The sequence below is a fragment of the Homo sapiens genome, chromosome 8 (assembly GCF_000001405.40).
Source record: "Homo sapiens chromosome 8, GRCh38.p14 Primary Assembly".
NCBI lineage: Eukaryota > Metazoa > Chordata > Mammalia > Primates > Hominidae > Homo > Homo sapiens.
In genome coordinates, this window is record NC_000008.11 from 11,868,098 (window position 1) to 11,883,528 (window position 15,431).

Here is a 15,431-nt window from a genome sequence, read left to right on the forward strand (position 1 = left end):
GGGCCAGCCCCGGCCCTAAGTACCCTCCCGGCCCCGCCCCACGTGACCACCGCGCAGCCCCGCCCGGGCCCTCCCGCCGCCCGCGCACGGTGCTTCCCAGCCCCCACCCCCTCCCGCCACCTTCCGCCGCCCGCGCTCCCCGCTTCCCGGCCCCGCACACCCCCCGCCCCCTTCCGCTCGGGGTCCGGGGCCACCGCCGGGGGCGGGCGGGGGCCTGAGCGCGCGGGCTGGGGAAGAAGGGCTTGGAGCCCTGCGGGCCCTGGGTGGCGAAACGCTGCGAATTGGGGCCAGGGGATGGGGAAAAAGCCCCTAAAGGTGGTCCCAAGGCCCCCACCCCGCCTAGAAAAGTCCCCCCGCCTCGCGGGACCGCCTCCGCCAGAACCCGCGCCTGGGATCCCTGCCTGCCGAGTTGGCGGGGGTGGGGTGGTGGAGAGGGCGCCGTCGCTTATTTCATTCATTCAGAAGCCGCTGCAGAGGCTGGGGGTGGCGAGGCTGTGGACCCCACAGAACAGCCTTTAGAAGGGCCACTTTGTTGTTCAGAGAACGTACCCACAAAACACTACAGCTACGTACAAATAGAAAAGAGTGGCTGTCACTGCGAAGGAACCTAGGAGCTGCGTCAGGATTTCTAAGAGGAGAAGGACCTTGGGGGCGGAAATCGGTTTGGCACAGGAGTACCCGGAGACCTGCTCCGAGAGGACGGACAAAGTGCACATTTACTTGGGGTTTATTACCGGGAGGCCCTGGAAGGGAGATGCAGGGGTTGGCTCAAGACTCACCCTCCTCCAGACACTCCCCAAACAGCTTTAATCCTTAAGACAAACCTGCAAAGCAGGCATGACCCCAGTTGTATTCAAGAGGCTCAGAGGGGCTGGGTTCGGTGGCTCACGCCTGTAATCCCAGCATTTTGGGAGGCCGAGGCCGGTGAGTCACCTGAGGTCGGGAGTTCGAGACCATCCTGACCAACATGGAGAAACCCCGTCTCTACTAAAAATACAAAACTAGCCGGGCGTGGTGGCGCGTGTCAGTAATCCCAGCTACTCGGGAGACTGAAGCAGGAGAATCGCTTGAACCCGGGAGGCGGAGGTTGCGGTGACCAGAGATCGCACTATTGCACTCCAGCCTAGGCAACAAGAGTGAAACTCTGTATTAAAAAAAAAAAAAAGGCTCAGAAGAATCGTATTTTATCCAGGCTGTGGCGACAGTAAGAAGGCAGTAGCCGGGTGCAGTGGCTCACGCCTGTAATCCCAGCACTTTGGGAGGCCGAGGCGGGCGGATCACGAGGTCAGGAGATCAAGATTATCCTGGCTAACACGGTGAAACCCCGTCTCTAGTAAAAATACAAAAAATTAGCCGGGCGTGGTGGCGGGCGCCTGTAGTCCCAGCTACTCGGGAGGCGGAGGCAGGAGAATGGCGTGAACCCGTGAGCTGAGATCGTGCCACTGCACTCCAGCCTGGGCGAAAAGCGAGACTCCGCCTCAAAAAAAAAAAAAAAAAAAAAAAAAAAGGCAGTAGGACTGCATGGGACCTGGTTCCCTGCAGCCTGGTCGTCAGCTGTCACACAGCCCTGAGCCTGTCTTCAGAGACATGCCTGTACTCCCGCCTGGTTAGTAACAAACTAAGGATAGGAGTGGAAGGAAAAAATAATCTCTGGAGCCCAAACATGGTCACTAAGCCCCCAGCAGAGTGGGATACCCGAGGAACTGAGGACCAGGAGGCTGGAGGTCAAGGTGGTCCCAACTGCCTGCTCACCCTAGTCATATCCTGACAGCCATGGACTCTGGACTCCAAATCATTTCAGACCTCTATAAGGAGCTCATAAGATGGCCAAAATGGGGAGGACACAGCCAGAACCAGGATAACTCTCCCCTCTCTCATCCTTAGAGTGTGACAGAAGGTATGCAGAGCAGAGTGCTTGACATGCGTTATGGCTATTTGATGGAATTTTCCATCAGTGTCATTATAGAAATCACTTTTGAGAGGTAAAAATCACTTTTGAAACAAAAGAAACAGGCTAGGCGCGGTGGTTCACCACTGTAATCCTAGCACTTTGGGAGGCTGAGGCAGGCAGATCACCTGAGGTCGGGAGTTCCAGACCAGCCTGGCCCAAATGGTGAAACCCAGTCTCTACTAAAAATACAAAAATTAGCTGGGCGTGGTGGTTCACGCGCCTGTAATCCCAGCTACTTGAGAGGCTGAGGCAGGAGAATCGCTTGAGCCCGGGAGGTGGAGGTTGCGGTGAGCCAAAATCACGCCATTGCACTCCAACCCGGGCAAGATTCCATCTCAAAAGAAAAGAAAAGAAAAAAAGAAATAGGCCAGGCGCAGTGGCTCACGCCTGTAATCCCAGCACTTTGGGAGGCCAAGGCAGGCGGATCACGACGTTGGAAGTTCAAGACCAGCCTGGCCAACATGGTGAAACCCCGTCTCTACTAAAAATACAAAAATTAGCTGGGTGTGGCATTGCGGGCCTGTAATCCCAGCTACTCGAGCGCTGAGGCAGGAGGATCCCTTGAACCAGGGAGTCAGAGGTTGTAGTGAGCCGAGATCACGCCATTGCACTCCAACATGGGCAAGACTCCTCAAAAGACAAGAAAAGAAATATATTACTACCAGAGTAGAATTCGTCCCTTCCTGGAACATCCAGGAAAGCTTCATGGAGAAAGGAACATACAGCATATTTACTTGTATATGTTCCTTCCTGCCCTCACTGGATCTTAAGCCCCACCCAGGCAAGCATTTTTACCTGCGGTGTTCCCCTGCTTCATCCCAGCTCATTGCAGGGTGTCTGGCCCATAGCAGAGGATAGAGAAATGTGAGTTGAGTGGATGCATAATGAATGAAGTAGGCCTTGAAGTTGAGGAGAATTTTGGCTTAACCTGCTAGATTTGGGGGTCAGGGTTCAGGGCCTGGGGAACAGCTCTCAGAACTTACAGAGAGGCCTTGACTCACGTGTGTAAAAGCTGTTTGCTTGTTGAACATCCGTAAAAGAGGCCTAAGTTAACACCTGAAAGAGGTGAAAACATACGTCCTCACAAAAATCCGCCGGGCACAGTGGGCTCACGCCTGTAATCCCAGCACTTTGGGAGGCAGAGGTGGGTGGATTACTTAAGCCTAGGAGTTCAAGACCAGCCTGGGGAACATAGTGAGACCCCAACTCTAAAACAAAAGTTAATAACGTATGTATAAACTTACACCAGATGTTTATAGCAGCATTATTTACAGTAACCAAAAGGTGAAAACAACTCAAATGTCCATCCATTAAAAACCATTGCACGAATAAACAAACTGTCATAAATCCACCAAATGGAGTTTTATTCAGTCGTAAAAAGGAATGAAGTAGTCACACATGCTACAACATCGATAAACCTTGAAAACGTTTACTAAGTAAAATCAGCCAGGTCCAAAGGACTCAGTATTGTATGATTCCGTGAAATCCACATGGGAGGTTAGGTAGGTGACAGCTAAAGGGTGTGGGGTTTCTCTGGGGGCTAATATGAATTTTTTTTTTTTGCCGAGACAGAGTCTCGCTCTGTCGCCCAGGCTGGAGTGCAGTGGTGCGATATCGCCTCACTGCAACCTCCGCCTCCCGAGTTCAAGCAATTCTGCCTCAGCCTCCTGAGTAGCTGGGGTTACAGGCACCCGCCACCACACTCCCCTAATTTTTGTATTTTTAGTAGAGACAGGGTTTCACCATGTTGGCCAGGCTGGTCTCGAACTCCTGACCTCGTGATCCACCTGCCTCGGCCCCCCAAAGTGCTGGGATTACAGGCGTGAGCCACAGGGCCCAGCCTAATTTTGTATTTTTTGTAGAGACGGTGTTTTCCCATGTTGCCCAGGCTGATCTCAAGCTCTTGAGCTCAAATGATCCTGCTGTCTCCGCCTCTCAAAGTGCTAGGATTACAGGTGTGAGCCACCTCGCCCAGCCTGATTTAACTTTTTAATTTTTAAAAATTATCCTTGAATACGCTACAGTGCCCAACTATTCAGTGTTGAAATGAACTGGATTTCTTATTTGGCTGTGATTGTTTCCAGTATTTTCAGAAATATGTCTCCATTCCTATCTAAACTCTAAGTTGGTTGGTGTAGGGTGCTGTCTTATTCATTTCTATTTCTCCTTCCTCTCTTCTCAAAGGACTTTCGTGCCCTTTACCCCTCCTTCCAGCAGGGAGGTATGAGCCGTGCCTCTGGGCTCCTTCTTCTTCCTCCCGACAGCTCCCTTTCTGTGGTGTGACTGTCATCAGAGGGAGGGAAATTACAGTGCCTTGGCTTCAGAGAACTAAGTTTCTGGTTCTAGCCTTATGAGGGCTGACCACATTGTTTTTTTTTTTTTTCTATTGGCTTCCAGAAGGATTCCTCTTTATTCTCCTACAGTGTCTCCTTTGTGGCTTATCCTACTGCGAGAGCACTTGTTTAACTGCGAGCAAAAGAGATGGCTGCTCCTCTAATACCGGTGGGGGCCTCGACTTTCACATGAACTCCCTCGGAAGGGAAGCCATGTCTGCAGCCAGGGTCTCAGCAGATGTCCACAGCCCCCAAAGCTTTGCCTCCAGAGGCCACCACTTCCCACCATTTCTGTTTCTGGTGGGGCCCCTTCAATTCTAACTATGGCCTCCCCACCACAGAAGAGCAGGGTTTACTCACTTGTCCTCTTCCATGAAGAGCAAATGTATTATCTCACTTGGGGTTTCAGTTGCCCTTGTAGTTTTATTTATTTTTATTTTTCATTTATTTAATTAAAAAAAAAGTTTGAGACAGGGTCTCGCTCTGTCACCCAGGCTGGAGTGCAGTGGCAGGATCTTGGCTCACGGCAACCTTCACCTCCCGGGCTCAAGCAATCCTCCCACCTCAGCCTCTGGACTACCTGGGATCACAGACGCATACAACCATGCCTGGCTGTTGTTTTTTATTTTATTTTTACAGATACTGGGTCTTGCCATGTTGTCCAGGTTGGACTCAAATTCCTGGGCTCAAGCAGTGTGCCCGCCTTGCCCTCCCAAAATGCTGGGATTACAGGCATGAGCCACCACACCCAGACCTTGAATACAGTCACATTCTGAGGTACTAGGGGTTAGGGTTTCAACATACAAACTTTTGGGGGCCTAATTCAGCCCATAATACTATGCTTGAGAAGAGGGCTGCTTCAGAGGCAGGCTGTTTGGAAACTCTGGAGAAAAACGGGGTGAGAACATTCTGTTTCTTTTTTTTTTTTTTTTTTAAGACAGAGTCTCGCTGTGTTTCCCAGGCTGGAGCTGGAGTGCAGTGGCCTGATCACAGCTCACTGCAGCCTCAACCTCTCATGCTCAAACAATCCTCTTGCCTACGCCTCCCAATTAGCTGGGGCTACAGGTGCATGCCACCATGCCCAGCTAATATTTATTTTTTGTAGAGATGGGATCTTGCTGTATTGCCCAGGCTGGTCTCAAACTCCTAACCTCAAGCAATTCTCCCGCCTTTGGCCTCCCAAAGTGCGGGGATTACAGGCATGAGCTACCACGCCTGATCTTGAGAACATTTTTTATGTCAACAAGGTAGTGAGCACAAAACGAGGAGGGGCAAGGCCAGTCATCCCTCCACAAATGCTAGCTGAGAACCTGGCCTGTGACAGGCACTGCAAACTGGAAGTTAAAGGGAAACTTTGCTATAAGCCACCTAGGTTTGGTGCCATATGTATTAGTAATCACAATAAATTTCCTTGAACGTAAGTGCAATAGCAAGTGATCCTTCCTATATTCATTTAAAAATCTTTGTGTTGGCCAAGCATGGTGGCTCATGCCTGTAATCCCAGCATTTTTAGGAGGCCGAGGCAGGAGGATCGCTGGAGCCCAGGAGTTCGAGACCAGCCTGGGCAACATGGTGAAGCCCGTCTTTACAAAAAGCACAAAAATTAGCTGGGCATGATGGTGCATGCCTGTGGTCCCAGCTACTTGGTAGGATCGCTTGAGCCTGAGAGCTGGAGGCTGCAGTGAGCCAAGACTGTGCCACTGCATTCCAGCCTGGGCAACAGAGACCTTGTCTCCAAAAAACAAAAAGAAAACTCTGTGTTGTTTCCTGATTTATAATTAGAGGTAGCATTCATTCATTCTTTTATACTGCAGCCAAGAATCTTCATTGGTTTCACATATAATTCTGGTCTGGCTGCCTGGCTGATACTAAATTTCTACCTTTACGCTGTTAAGCCATCCTAAATGGTAGTACCTCTTTGCTGCCTGTAGCTGTAGTCAGAAGAGGGTTCAGTAGTCCCTGTTAAGAAGGACTCTTGGGGACTGGAGATGTATTCATCAGGGTAATAATGCAAGCTGCTATAATAAACAAGCCCACCCAACAATGGTTAATTTCTTATTCAGGTTGAAGACCGTGAGGGTTCGTAAGGGGGGAGATGCTGCACTCTGAGGTTCCTGAGGGACTCGGGCTGCTTTGGGATGCACCACCATCTCCTACACATGGATGCCAGGGTCCCTGCTCCAGGGGAGGGAGAGAATGGGAAAAACCCTCCTGTCTTGAAAACTGTCCCAGCCTGCGAGCAGGATATGTGCTCCATTGATGACAACTATTTGAATGTCACAGAGTTGGGGAATGTGGTTAAGCTGCATTCCCAGGGAAAAAAATACGGTTTGGTGGGCTCCAGCTTATCTGAGCCACAGGTGTATGATCCTGGTACTACCACCTCCCCGATGGTTCCTTGGGGGAAGTTCCTTAAACTCCCTGGGGCCTTCCTCATCTGCAGAAGGGTTGTGACGATGGGCTGGTGTCACAAGGCTGTTGTGAGATGAGGGAGTTAGTACCCCTGGTACTCAGTGAGAGCAAGCTCAGTTCACCTTAGCTACCACCCAGCCCTGCAAACCACCTGCGCTCCTACAACTCCTTGCAGTTTACAATGCATTCTCATCTTCATAACTGTTTCTACTTTTAGCTTCTCAGCAAGCTGTGGGGTAGGCATTTCACAGATGAGAAAACCGAAGAGAGGCTGGGAGATTTGCCAAGGTCACATGGCACTTACACAGCTCAGCCTCCTGACTCAGTCCAGCACTTTTCCTGTCTCTTTGCGGAGATCACAGTTACCACCTTGAGTGCAGTGTGGCCCCCTGGGCCCACCCCAAAGCTGCTGGGAAGTTTGCGGAGAAATCTGAGTCACAGAAAAATGAGGCATCTACTTCAGATCCTATACCTTGGCGTTTCACGGAATATTTTGGAGTGTTTTATCCTAGGTAGTAAATTTGACTTCGCTGTCTGTGAAAAATAGATCTGTGCTGTCAACGGTGGACACTGAATGTCCACCTGGCAAACTTATCAGTTCAGTTTCTGTGGACAAGAAGAGGAAACAATTGGATTTCTCAATCATTTTTGGTCCAGTCCGTGGTCCAAATGGAAGAGACAGACCAGGTGTGGTGGCTAATGCCTATAATCGCAGCACTTTGGGAGGCCAAGGTGGGTGGATCACCTGAGGTCAGGAGTTCAAGAGCAGTCTGGCCAACATGGCGAAACCCTCGCTCTACTAAAAATACAAAAAAATTAGCCAGGTGTGGTGACAGGTGCCTGTAATCGCAGCTACTTGAGAAGCTGAGGCAGGAGAATTGCTTGAGCCCGGGGGCGGAGATTTCAGTGAGCCGAGATTGCGCTCCAGCCTGGGTGAAAAAGCAAAACTCCGTCTCAGAAAAAAAACCCAAACAGAAGAGACATTTCAGTACCACAGGCCAGCAGAAAAAGCTTCTGAATGAGACTCCTTTTGTAGGTGGAGTAAAGGTGGACAGTAAACCACTCCCATTTCCATGCATCATTGTTACTCTGACTTATTTATTTGTTTGTTTATTTTTTGAGATGGAGTCTCGCTCTGTCACCCAGGCTGGAGTGCAGTGGTGCGATCTCAGCTAACTGCAACCTCCACCACCTGGCTTCAAGCAATTCTTTTGCCTCAGCCTCCCGAGTAGCTGGGACTACAGGTGCATGCCACCACACCTAGCTAATTTTTGTATTTTTAGTAGAGATGGGGATTCACCATGTTGTCCAGGCTGGTCTCGAACTCCTGACTGCAAGTGATCTGCCAGCCTCAGCCTCCCAAAGTGCTGGGATTACAGGTGTGAGACACCACACCCAGCCTATTTATTTAATTAATTTTTTTTTTTTGAGACAGGATCTCACCAGGTTACCCAGGCTGGAGTGCAGTGGTGCAATCATGGCTCACTGTAGACCCAGCCTCCTGGGCTCAAGCAGTCCTCTCACCTCAGCCTCCCAAGTAGCTAGGACTATAATTGTGTGCCACCACACCTAGCTAATTTTTTTTATTTTTTTTTTGAGATGAAGTCTTGCTCTGTTGCTCAGGCTGAAGTGCAGTGGCGTGATCTCAGCTCACTGCTGCCTCTGCTTCCCGGGTTCAAAGGATTATCCTGCCTCAGCCTCCCGAGTAGCTGGGATTACAGGTGTGCACGGCCACACCCGGCTAATTTTTTGTATTTTTAGTAGAGATGTGGTTTTCCCATGTTGCCCAGGCTGGTCTCGAACTCCTGACCTCATGAGGTCCACCAGCCTCAGCCTCTCAAAGTGCTGGGATTACAGGTGTGAGCCACCATGCCTGGCCACCTGGCTAATTTTTGTATTTTTCTGTAGAGATGGGTTTTTGCCATGTTGTCCAGGCTGGTCTCAATCTTCTGGGCTCGAGCAATCCTCCTGCCTCGGACTCCCAAAGTGCTGGGATTACAGGTGTGGGCCACCACACCTGACCTGCTCTGACTTACTTAGATACCAGGGAGATCATCCATGGAGAAGGTCTAAGGGCTTTATGGATTTCATTATCATTGGCATGCTCGCTGTAGATGGCCATGAAATCATTTTCAAAAATGTCCTCATCTTTAAAGAAGTGTTTTTATTATTTGTGAATTTTGCTTTGGTTGAGGGTGTCTTTGGAGTTTGGAAATCCATGTTGAGGCATGAAATAATTTGTTTTCCCAGATGTTTACCTGCCTGAGCATATGACCCTTGTTTATTTATTTAGGGCTCTGTGTGGGCAAGAGGACTTAATTGGCAGATGTGTCTGTGACTAGACACAGAAGACATTTTTCTTTTGTTAGCCATCTTGTTTGTGTGTATGGGGGGAAGTGGTGGATTAGTCACCCGGGAACATGTGGGAAGCTGGTGAAATTTTGCAACAATAGCTGGGAAGGGCTTGAACATTCCATAGGGGCAGGGTACATCTTCAGTCTCAGGTCAGCTGGCTTAACGAGAGCTCAAGTTGACTGCCTTTCCACTGGAAGTGTCCTTCAGAACTGGAACCGGGCCGGGTGCGGTGGCTCACTCCTGTAATCCCATGGGAGGCCAAGGCAGGCAGATCACCTGAGGTCAGGAGTTCGAGACCAGCCTGGCCAACATGGTGAAACGCCGTCTCCACCAAAAATACAAAAATATCAGGCTGGGCACGGTGGCAGGTGCCTGGAATCTCAGCTAGTCAGGGAGGCTGAGGCAGGAGAATCGCTTGAACCCGGGAGGCAGAGGTTGCAGTGATCTGAGATTGCGCCACTGCACTCCAGCCTGAGTGACAGAGTGAGACAACGTCTCAAAAAAAAAAAAAAAAGAAGAAGAAGAAGAACTGGAACTGGAACAGGAGCTTCCTGGAAGATTGACTGGGGTTAGGGGTTGCAGGCGAGTAAGCCTGTCAGAGAATGGAGCCTCCTGCCAACAGAGGGGGAGCTGGCATACAGAGGCCGGGTGGGAGCGTGGCCGGGCCTGCCATCAGAGTGGCTGTGGTACTACTGGGCCAGATGCAAATCTGGAGCCAAGGGTGGAGACTGAGCTTTGCCCAAGCCTTCATGATGAATCAGCGCATTAGCTCAAGACCGGGGCAGGAAGTGAACCAGGGTCTGTGTGTCTCAGACAGTCCTGAGTTAATTCAGACAGAACTATTGTGCTCTGTTCATTTATCCCTTTTATTCTTTTTTCTTTTCACGGATGGGCTTTAGATTTCCATTTGTGGCCTCTCCTCCTTTTAGATCTAGGTAAAATGGACAAAAACCTTCCGTTTTCATGGTTTCTGATGGCTTAAACCTGTCCCTAAGATGTTTGCAAGCCTCCAGGCAAAGAAGGAAGTGCTGGTGGAGGAGGCTGTGGTTGTCTTTCATTCATGCTTTGATGTCTTGTCTCTAAGAGGACTCTTTCTGCATGTTTGTCTCTTGGGCATGCTTGATCCGGCTATAAAATTCAGCCTCTTGCTTGATTTCTATGTACACTGGAATCATAGTGAGTTTAGACTTTTCTGGAGGCTTAGGGGTAGGCAATGAGGATGAGGAGGGGGTGACCAAGAGATAGAGGAGAGATTTACTTGGTAGAAATGCATCCAGAACACAGGCATTGCCTTTCAGTTAACGTTCTTTGGTGACCCTTCCAGGCTAGATTTCATTTCACTCTGAACTTCCCATCTTTTTGGTTCCCTTTCGCCCTCATTCTCAGATTTCTCTCCATTCCTTTCAGTGGCAAAACAACTCATTTCTTCCCTGTTCCCCCAAGAACAGCCTCCCTCATGATCTGCAGGCTCAGAGCTGACTTTCGTCCCACAAGATGTCATCTTCCCCAACCAAGTCTCTCTACGCTAAAGATAGTTCCTTCACTGGTTAGAGTTCTGGGGCCAGCTGTTCTCTCTCTTTTTAATTTCACTTCTCTAGAAAAGCTTCTTAAGAAATTGCAACCTTGCTTAGCTCAACGGAGGGGGTCAGGGCAGTACTGCTGGTGGGGTCATGTGGGCCTGAACACCCCATCTTCTTGTGGCTTCCATGGTTCCCGATATGCCTATAGGAAGCAGACGGGCTGGCCAAAGGGGCGCCCAGCAGGGAGATAATGGGCGTGGGGTGGGCCCCTTTTTCTCTGTTGGCCTGGTCTGGTGCTGGTGTCCCATAAGCTCTCCCAGACGAATAACCTTGTTCTACAAACGTACCCACTTAGGCAATTTGCCCTAAAGTTTCATCTTAAAAATGCATGTGAAATTGGACTTGTACTCCAGAGATATCCATGTTTGTATTCATGTAAAAATAATGTCCTTCTTAATTATCTGGGGGTGGTGGTGTGTGCCTTTAGTGCCAGCTACTTGGAAGGCTGAGGCAGGAGAATCACTTGGACCAAGGAGGCAGAGGTTGCAGTGAGCTGAGATCGCGCCATTGCACTCCAGCCTGGGTGACAGAGAGAGACTCTGTCCCAAAAAATAAAATAAAATAAAAATAAATACATAAAATAAAATAAAATAAAAGTCCTTCTCTAGGCTTGCAGTGTTGGTCTATTATTTTGCCTCCTGTGTGCCAGGCACTGCAGCAGGCAGTGGGAACTGAATGTCAGCCCACCTGGAATGGAACTTGGGTCTAGGTTGGAGAAGACAGACGTCAATCAGTCAGCTCAACCAGACACAGTGTGCTTATCTCCCAGCTGCAGACCCTCGGGGGCCTGATAACCCGGGTTATCAAGTGCTGTCTTATGCTTCTCCAAGGGATTCCTGTAGCTGTTCCCACATCAGGCCCACAGCAGCACCTAGTAGACATCAGCTGGATGTGGTAAATGTGTGAATTATAAAGTCCAACTCTGGTTCTCATCTAGAAGCATGGTATAGCCACTATTGGTTAGGACTAAAATCCAGGGAATGGAATGCAAAATCATTTTGCCCTGAGGGTCTTCAGAGAGGATCAGGCACACCCTTAATGGAGAGTTGAGGAGGATTAGGCTCAGAGAGATAACATGGGCCTGTGGCTCATTCGAGCTGGAACTCCTGCAGTCCCCTGCCCCACTCTGCCTGTCCTTGAGACACACCCAGATGTCCACAAACATGACAGAGACACTCACATGATGAGGGTCATCCTCATGCTGCTGTTACCTGGGCCAGAGATAACAAATGCCAAGGTCATAGTGTTGATCCCACCACTCCCCCGGTCCATGGCTGCCTGTTGGAGGGTGGGTCAAAGGTGTGGGGCTGAGCAGGGTGCTAGGAGCCACTGGGATGGGCTGGCAGGAATGTGCTCTCTGTGAACCATCTTTGGTCCATTACTGGCTGGGTACTTGCTTTAATTAGGTGGATGACAACCCTGGAGCTCCCCTGACTCCTATAGTGGTTTCCCCTCTGAAGGGGCTTCAGGGACCTCCTGAGGGTCTTCTTAGGGGTCTCTGGGGCAGCCCGAATGAGCCACACAGGGATGCCTTAGTGTCCTTTGGTTTCTGTCACTGCGAGGCAGGGCGGGGTGGAGGAGGGAGAACAGGCTTTGGGGGCCAGCACAGGTGAGCTTGAACCCAGGCTCTGTGCTGCTCCGTTGGTGCCTCCCAGGGTGAGTCACACTGCTTTTCCCAGGCCCAGGTTTATTCTCTGCAGCATGGGGATAGTATATTCTTCACAAAACAGAGGGAAAGATTAAACACAACAGGCCGGGTGTGGTGGCTCACACCTGTAATCCCAGCACTTTGGGAGGCTGAGGTGGGTGGATCACCTGAGGTCAGGAGTTTGGGACCAGTCTGGCCAACATGGTGAAACCTAGTCTCTACTAAAAATACAAAAACCAGCCAGGGGCCAGGTGCGGTGGCTCACTCCTGTAATCTCAGCACTTTGGGAGGTTGAGACAGGTGGATCACTTGAGGTCAGGAGTTTGAGACCAGCCTTGCCAACAAGGCGAAACAGTCTCTACTAAAAATACAAAAAATTAGCTGGATGTGGTGGCACGTTTCTCCCAGCTACTTGGGAGGCTGAGCAGGAGACTCGCTTGAACCCGGGAGGCAGAGGTTGCTGTGAGTTGAGATCATGCCACTGTACTCCAGCCTCAGTGACAGAGCGAGACTGAGTCTCAAAAAAAAAAAAAAAAAAAAAGATTAGACATAGCATATGTCATGTGCCTAGCACTGTGCTCAGTGGATTGGAGGGGTTAGGCTGCAGGTAATAGTTGGCACCATAATTATTATTGTTCTGCGAGGAACCCCGCTCTCTGACACCCATGAGGACAGGGACTGAGATGGGAGTTTGTGTAACAGTCAGCACCACCTTCAGAGTATGCAAGGAATGGCTAAAGGTGGACTTAAGTATTGAGGACTTGACCCGGCACAGTGGCTCATGCCTGTAATCCCAGCACTTTGAAAGGCTGAAACAGGAGCATCACTTGAGCCCAGGAGTTCAAGATCAGCCAGGACAACATAGGAAGACCCTGTGTCTACATAAAATTAAACATTTGGCCAGGTACGGTGGCTCACGCTGTAATCCCAGCACTTTGGGAGGCTGAGGTGGGTGGATCACCTGAGGTCAGGAGTTCAAGACCAGCCTGGCGAACACGGTGAAACCTCATCTCTACTAAAAATACAAAAATCACCCAGGCATGGTGGTGTGCGCCTGTAATCCCAGCTACTCAGGAGGCTGAGGCAGGAGAATCACTTGAACCCAGGAGGCGGAGGTTGCAGTGAGCCAAGATCGTGCCATTGCACTCCAGCCTGGGCGACAAGAGCGAAACTCCATCTCCAAAAAAAAAAAAAAAAAAAAAAAAATTTAGCCCCGTGGCATTTGCTTGTGGTCCCAGTTACTGGGGAGGCTGAGGTAGGAGGATTACTTGAGCCCAGGTGGTCGAGGCTGAAGGGAGCTGTGATTGTGCCACTGCACTCCAGCCTGGAGAAGGGTGAGATTCTGTCTCAAAAAGAAAAAAAAATGTATTGAGGACTTGATGGACTTTCCTCCTCATGCCAGTGGTCATCAGGCCCATGTAACTTTGCTGTGGGTGAGACTGAAGCTGGCAAAGGCGTTAAATTGGTGTTGCCCAGCCTACTTGTAGGATTAGCAAGAAATCGCCCCATTGGGAGGTCCTCCAATGACTGATCTAGCTAGTAACTAGTTTCAGTTAGATTCTAGAATATTTTTAGTGAAATGTTCATTTGACTAGGCAACTTGATATGGTAAAAAGAATATGCATTTTGGCCGGATGCAGTGACTCATACCTAAAATCTCAGTATTTTGGGAGGCCGAGGCGGGCAGATGACTTGAGGTCAGGAGTTCAAGACCAGCCCGGCCAACATGGTGAAATGCTGTATCCACTAAAAATACAAAAATTAGCCGGGCGTGGTGGAGGGCACCTGTAATCCCAGCTACTGGGGAGGCTGAGGCAGGAGAATCACTTGAACCCAGGAGGCAGAGTTTGCAGGGAGCCAAGATTGAGCCACTGCACTCTAGCCTGGGCAATAGAGCAAGACTCAGTCTAAAAAAAAAAAGAAAGAAAAAATAAAAGAATGTCAGTTTTGCGACCATACAAACCTCATTGCAGAGCCTGGCTCTGACACTCACTATGAGCTGAGTCAAATTAGCTGACTTCTCTGAGCCTTGATTTCTTCTGCAGGATAGAAAAAAAGAATCGGTGTAGCTCTGAGGGTGAAATGAAATACAACAGGTGTATTACTTTGCTTGGACCACTATAATGAATACCACAGACTGGGCAGCTTAAACTATGTGTTTATTTTCTTACCGTTCTGGAAGCTGGCAAGTCCAAAATCAAGGTGTCAGAAGGTTTCATTTCTTCTGAGGCCTCTCTCTTTGGTTTGCAGATGGGTGCCTTGTCACTATGTGCTCACATGGTCTCTCCTCTGTGTGTATCTGTCTCCAAACCTCTCTTTTTTTTGAGACGGAGTCTCACTCTGTTGCCCAGGCTGGAGTGAAATGGCGCGATCTTGGCTCACTGAACCTCTGCCTCCTGGGTTCAAACAATTCTTCTGCCTCAGCCTCCCTAGTAGCTGACGTTACAGGCATGTGCTAGAAAGCCCAGCTAAGTTTTGTATTTTTAGTAGAGATGGGTTTCACCATGTTGGCCAGGACGATCTCGAACTCCTGACCTCAAGTGATCCACCCACCTCAGCCTCCCAAAGTGCTGGGATTACAGGTGTGAGCCACTATGCCTAGCCAGCCTCCGTTTCTTGAAAAAAAAAAAATTTATATATATATATATATATATATATATGCTTACCTCCTCAAAAACCCTATCTCCAGATAACCACATTCTGAGGGACTGGGGCTTAGGACTTAAATGTATGAATTACTGGGGGACACAGTTCACCATTATAGCTGTTCATTTTTTATCTATATATTTGTTCAAGACAGAGTTTCATTGTCGCCCAGGCTGGAGTGCAGTGGTGCAATCACGGCTCACTGCAGCCTCAGCCTTCTGGGCTCAAGCAATTCTCCTGCCTCAGTCTCCTGAGTAGCTGGGACCACAGGCATGCACCACCACTCCTAGCTAATTTTTGTATTTTTAGTAGACATGAGGTTTTGCCACATTGTGGCTGGTCTCGAACTCCTGAGCTCAAGCAATTGGCCCACCTCGGCCTCCCAAAATGCTACAATTTCAGGCGTGAGCCACTGCGCTCGGTCTAGCTGCTCTTATTACAAGAGCTCTCATTCCTTCCCGCGGCTCTTCCTAATTCTGGACTGTTTCCATGGTTTGGGAGTTGGT

The 15,431-nt window shown here is 49.6% G+C and overlaps 10 annotated features.

The window, feature by feature from the left end:
• Positions 24–143: a silencer, noted in NCBI's record as "silent region_18945". NCBI's record gives its function as "represses an Ori minimal core promoter by ATAC-STARR-seq in GM12878 lymphoblastoid cells {active_cell/tissue: GM12878}" and the evidence as "EXISTENCE:reporter gene assay evidence [ECO:0000049][PMID:35858748]".
• Positions 9,051–9,568: an enhancer, noted in NCBI's record as "H3K4me1 hESC enhancer chr8:11734657-11735174 (GRCh37/hg19 assembly coordinates)". NCBI's record gives its function as "activates a minimal SCP1, AML or CMV promoter by ChIP-STARR-seq in primed H9 embryonic stem cells {active_cell/tissue: H9 hESC(primed)}" and the evidence as "EXISTENCE:reporter gene assay evidence [ECO:0000049][PMID:30033119]".
• Positions 9,051–9,594: a biological region, named in NCBI's record as "H3K4me1 hESC enhancer GRCh37_chr8:11734657-11735174".
• Positions 9,495–9,594: an enhancer, noted in NCBI's record as "active region_27039". NCBI's record gives its function as "activates an Ori minimal core promoter by ATAC-STARR-seq in GM12878 lymphoblastoid cells {active_cell/tissue: GM12878}" and the evidence as "EXISTENCE:reporter gene assay evidence [ECO:0000049][PMID:35858748]".
• Positions 9,569–10,084: an enhancer, noted in NCBI's record as "H3K4me1 hESC enhancer chr8:11735175-11735690 (GRCh37/hg19 assembly coordinates)". NCBI's record gives its function as "activates a minimal SCP1, AML or CMV promoter by ChIP-STARR-seq in primed H9 embryonic stem cells {active_cell/tissue: H9 hESC(primed)}" and the evidence as "EXISTENCE:reporter gene assay evidence [ECO:0000049][PMID:30033119]".
• Positions 9,626–10,001: a transcriptional cis regulatory region, noted in NCBI's record as "candidate enhancer chr8.428 targeted for multiplex CRISPR interference". NCBI's record gives its function as "positively regulates CTSB gene expression with high confidence in K562 cells {active_cell/tissue: K562}" and the evidence as "EXISTENCE:mutant phenotype evidence [ECO:0000015][PMID:30612741]".
• Positions 9,643–9,937: an enhancer, noted in NCBI's record as "tiled region #14431; HepG2 Activating non-DNase unmatched - State 8:EnhW, and K562 Activating DNase unmatched - State 5:Enh". NCBI's record gives its function as "activates a minimal TATA promoter and a strong SV40 promoter by Sharpr-MPRA in HepG2 and K562 cells {active_cell/tissue: HepG2 | K562}" and the evidence as "EXISTENCE:reporter gene assay evidence [ECO:0000049][PMID:27701403]".
• Positions 11,181–11,975: a transcriptional cis regulatory region, noted in NCBI's record as "candidate enhancer chr8.429 targeted for multiplex CRISPR interference". NCBI's record gives its function as "positively regulates CTSB gene expression with high confidence in K562 cells {active_cell/tissue: K562}" and the evidence as "EXISTENCE:mutant phenotype evidence [ECO:0000015][PMID:30612741]".
• Positions 11,181–11,977: a biological region, named in NCBI's record as "CRISPRi-validated cis-regulatory element chr8.429". NCBI's record gives its function as "regulatory_interactions: CTSB".
• Positions 11,683–11,977: a silencer, noted in NCBI's record as "tiled region #3210; K562 Repressive non-DNase unmatched - State 5:Enh". NCBI's record gives its function as "represses a minimal TATA promoter and a strong SV40 promoter by Sharpr-MPRA in K562 cells {active_cell/tissue: K562}" and the evidence as "EXISTENCE:reporter gene assay evidence [ECO:0000049][PMID:27701403]".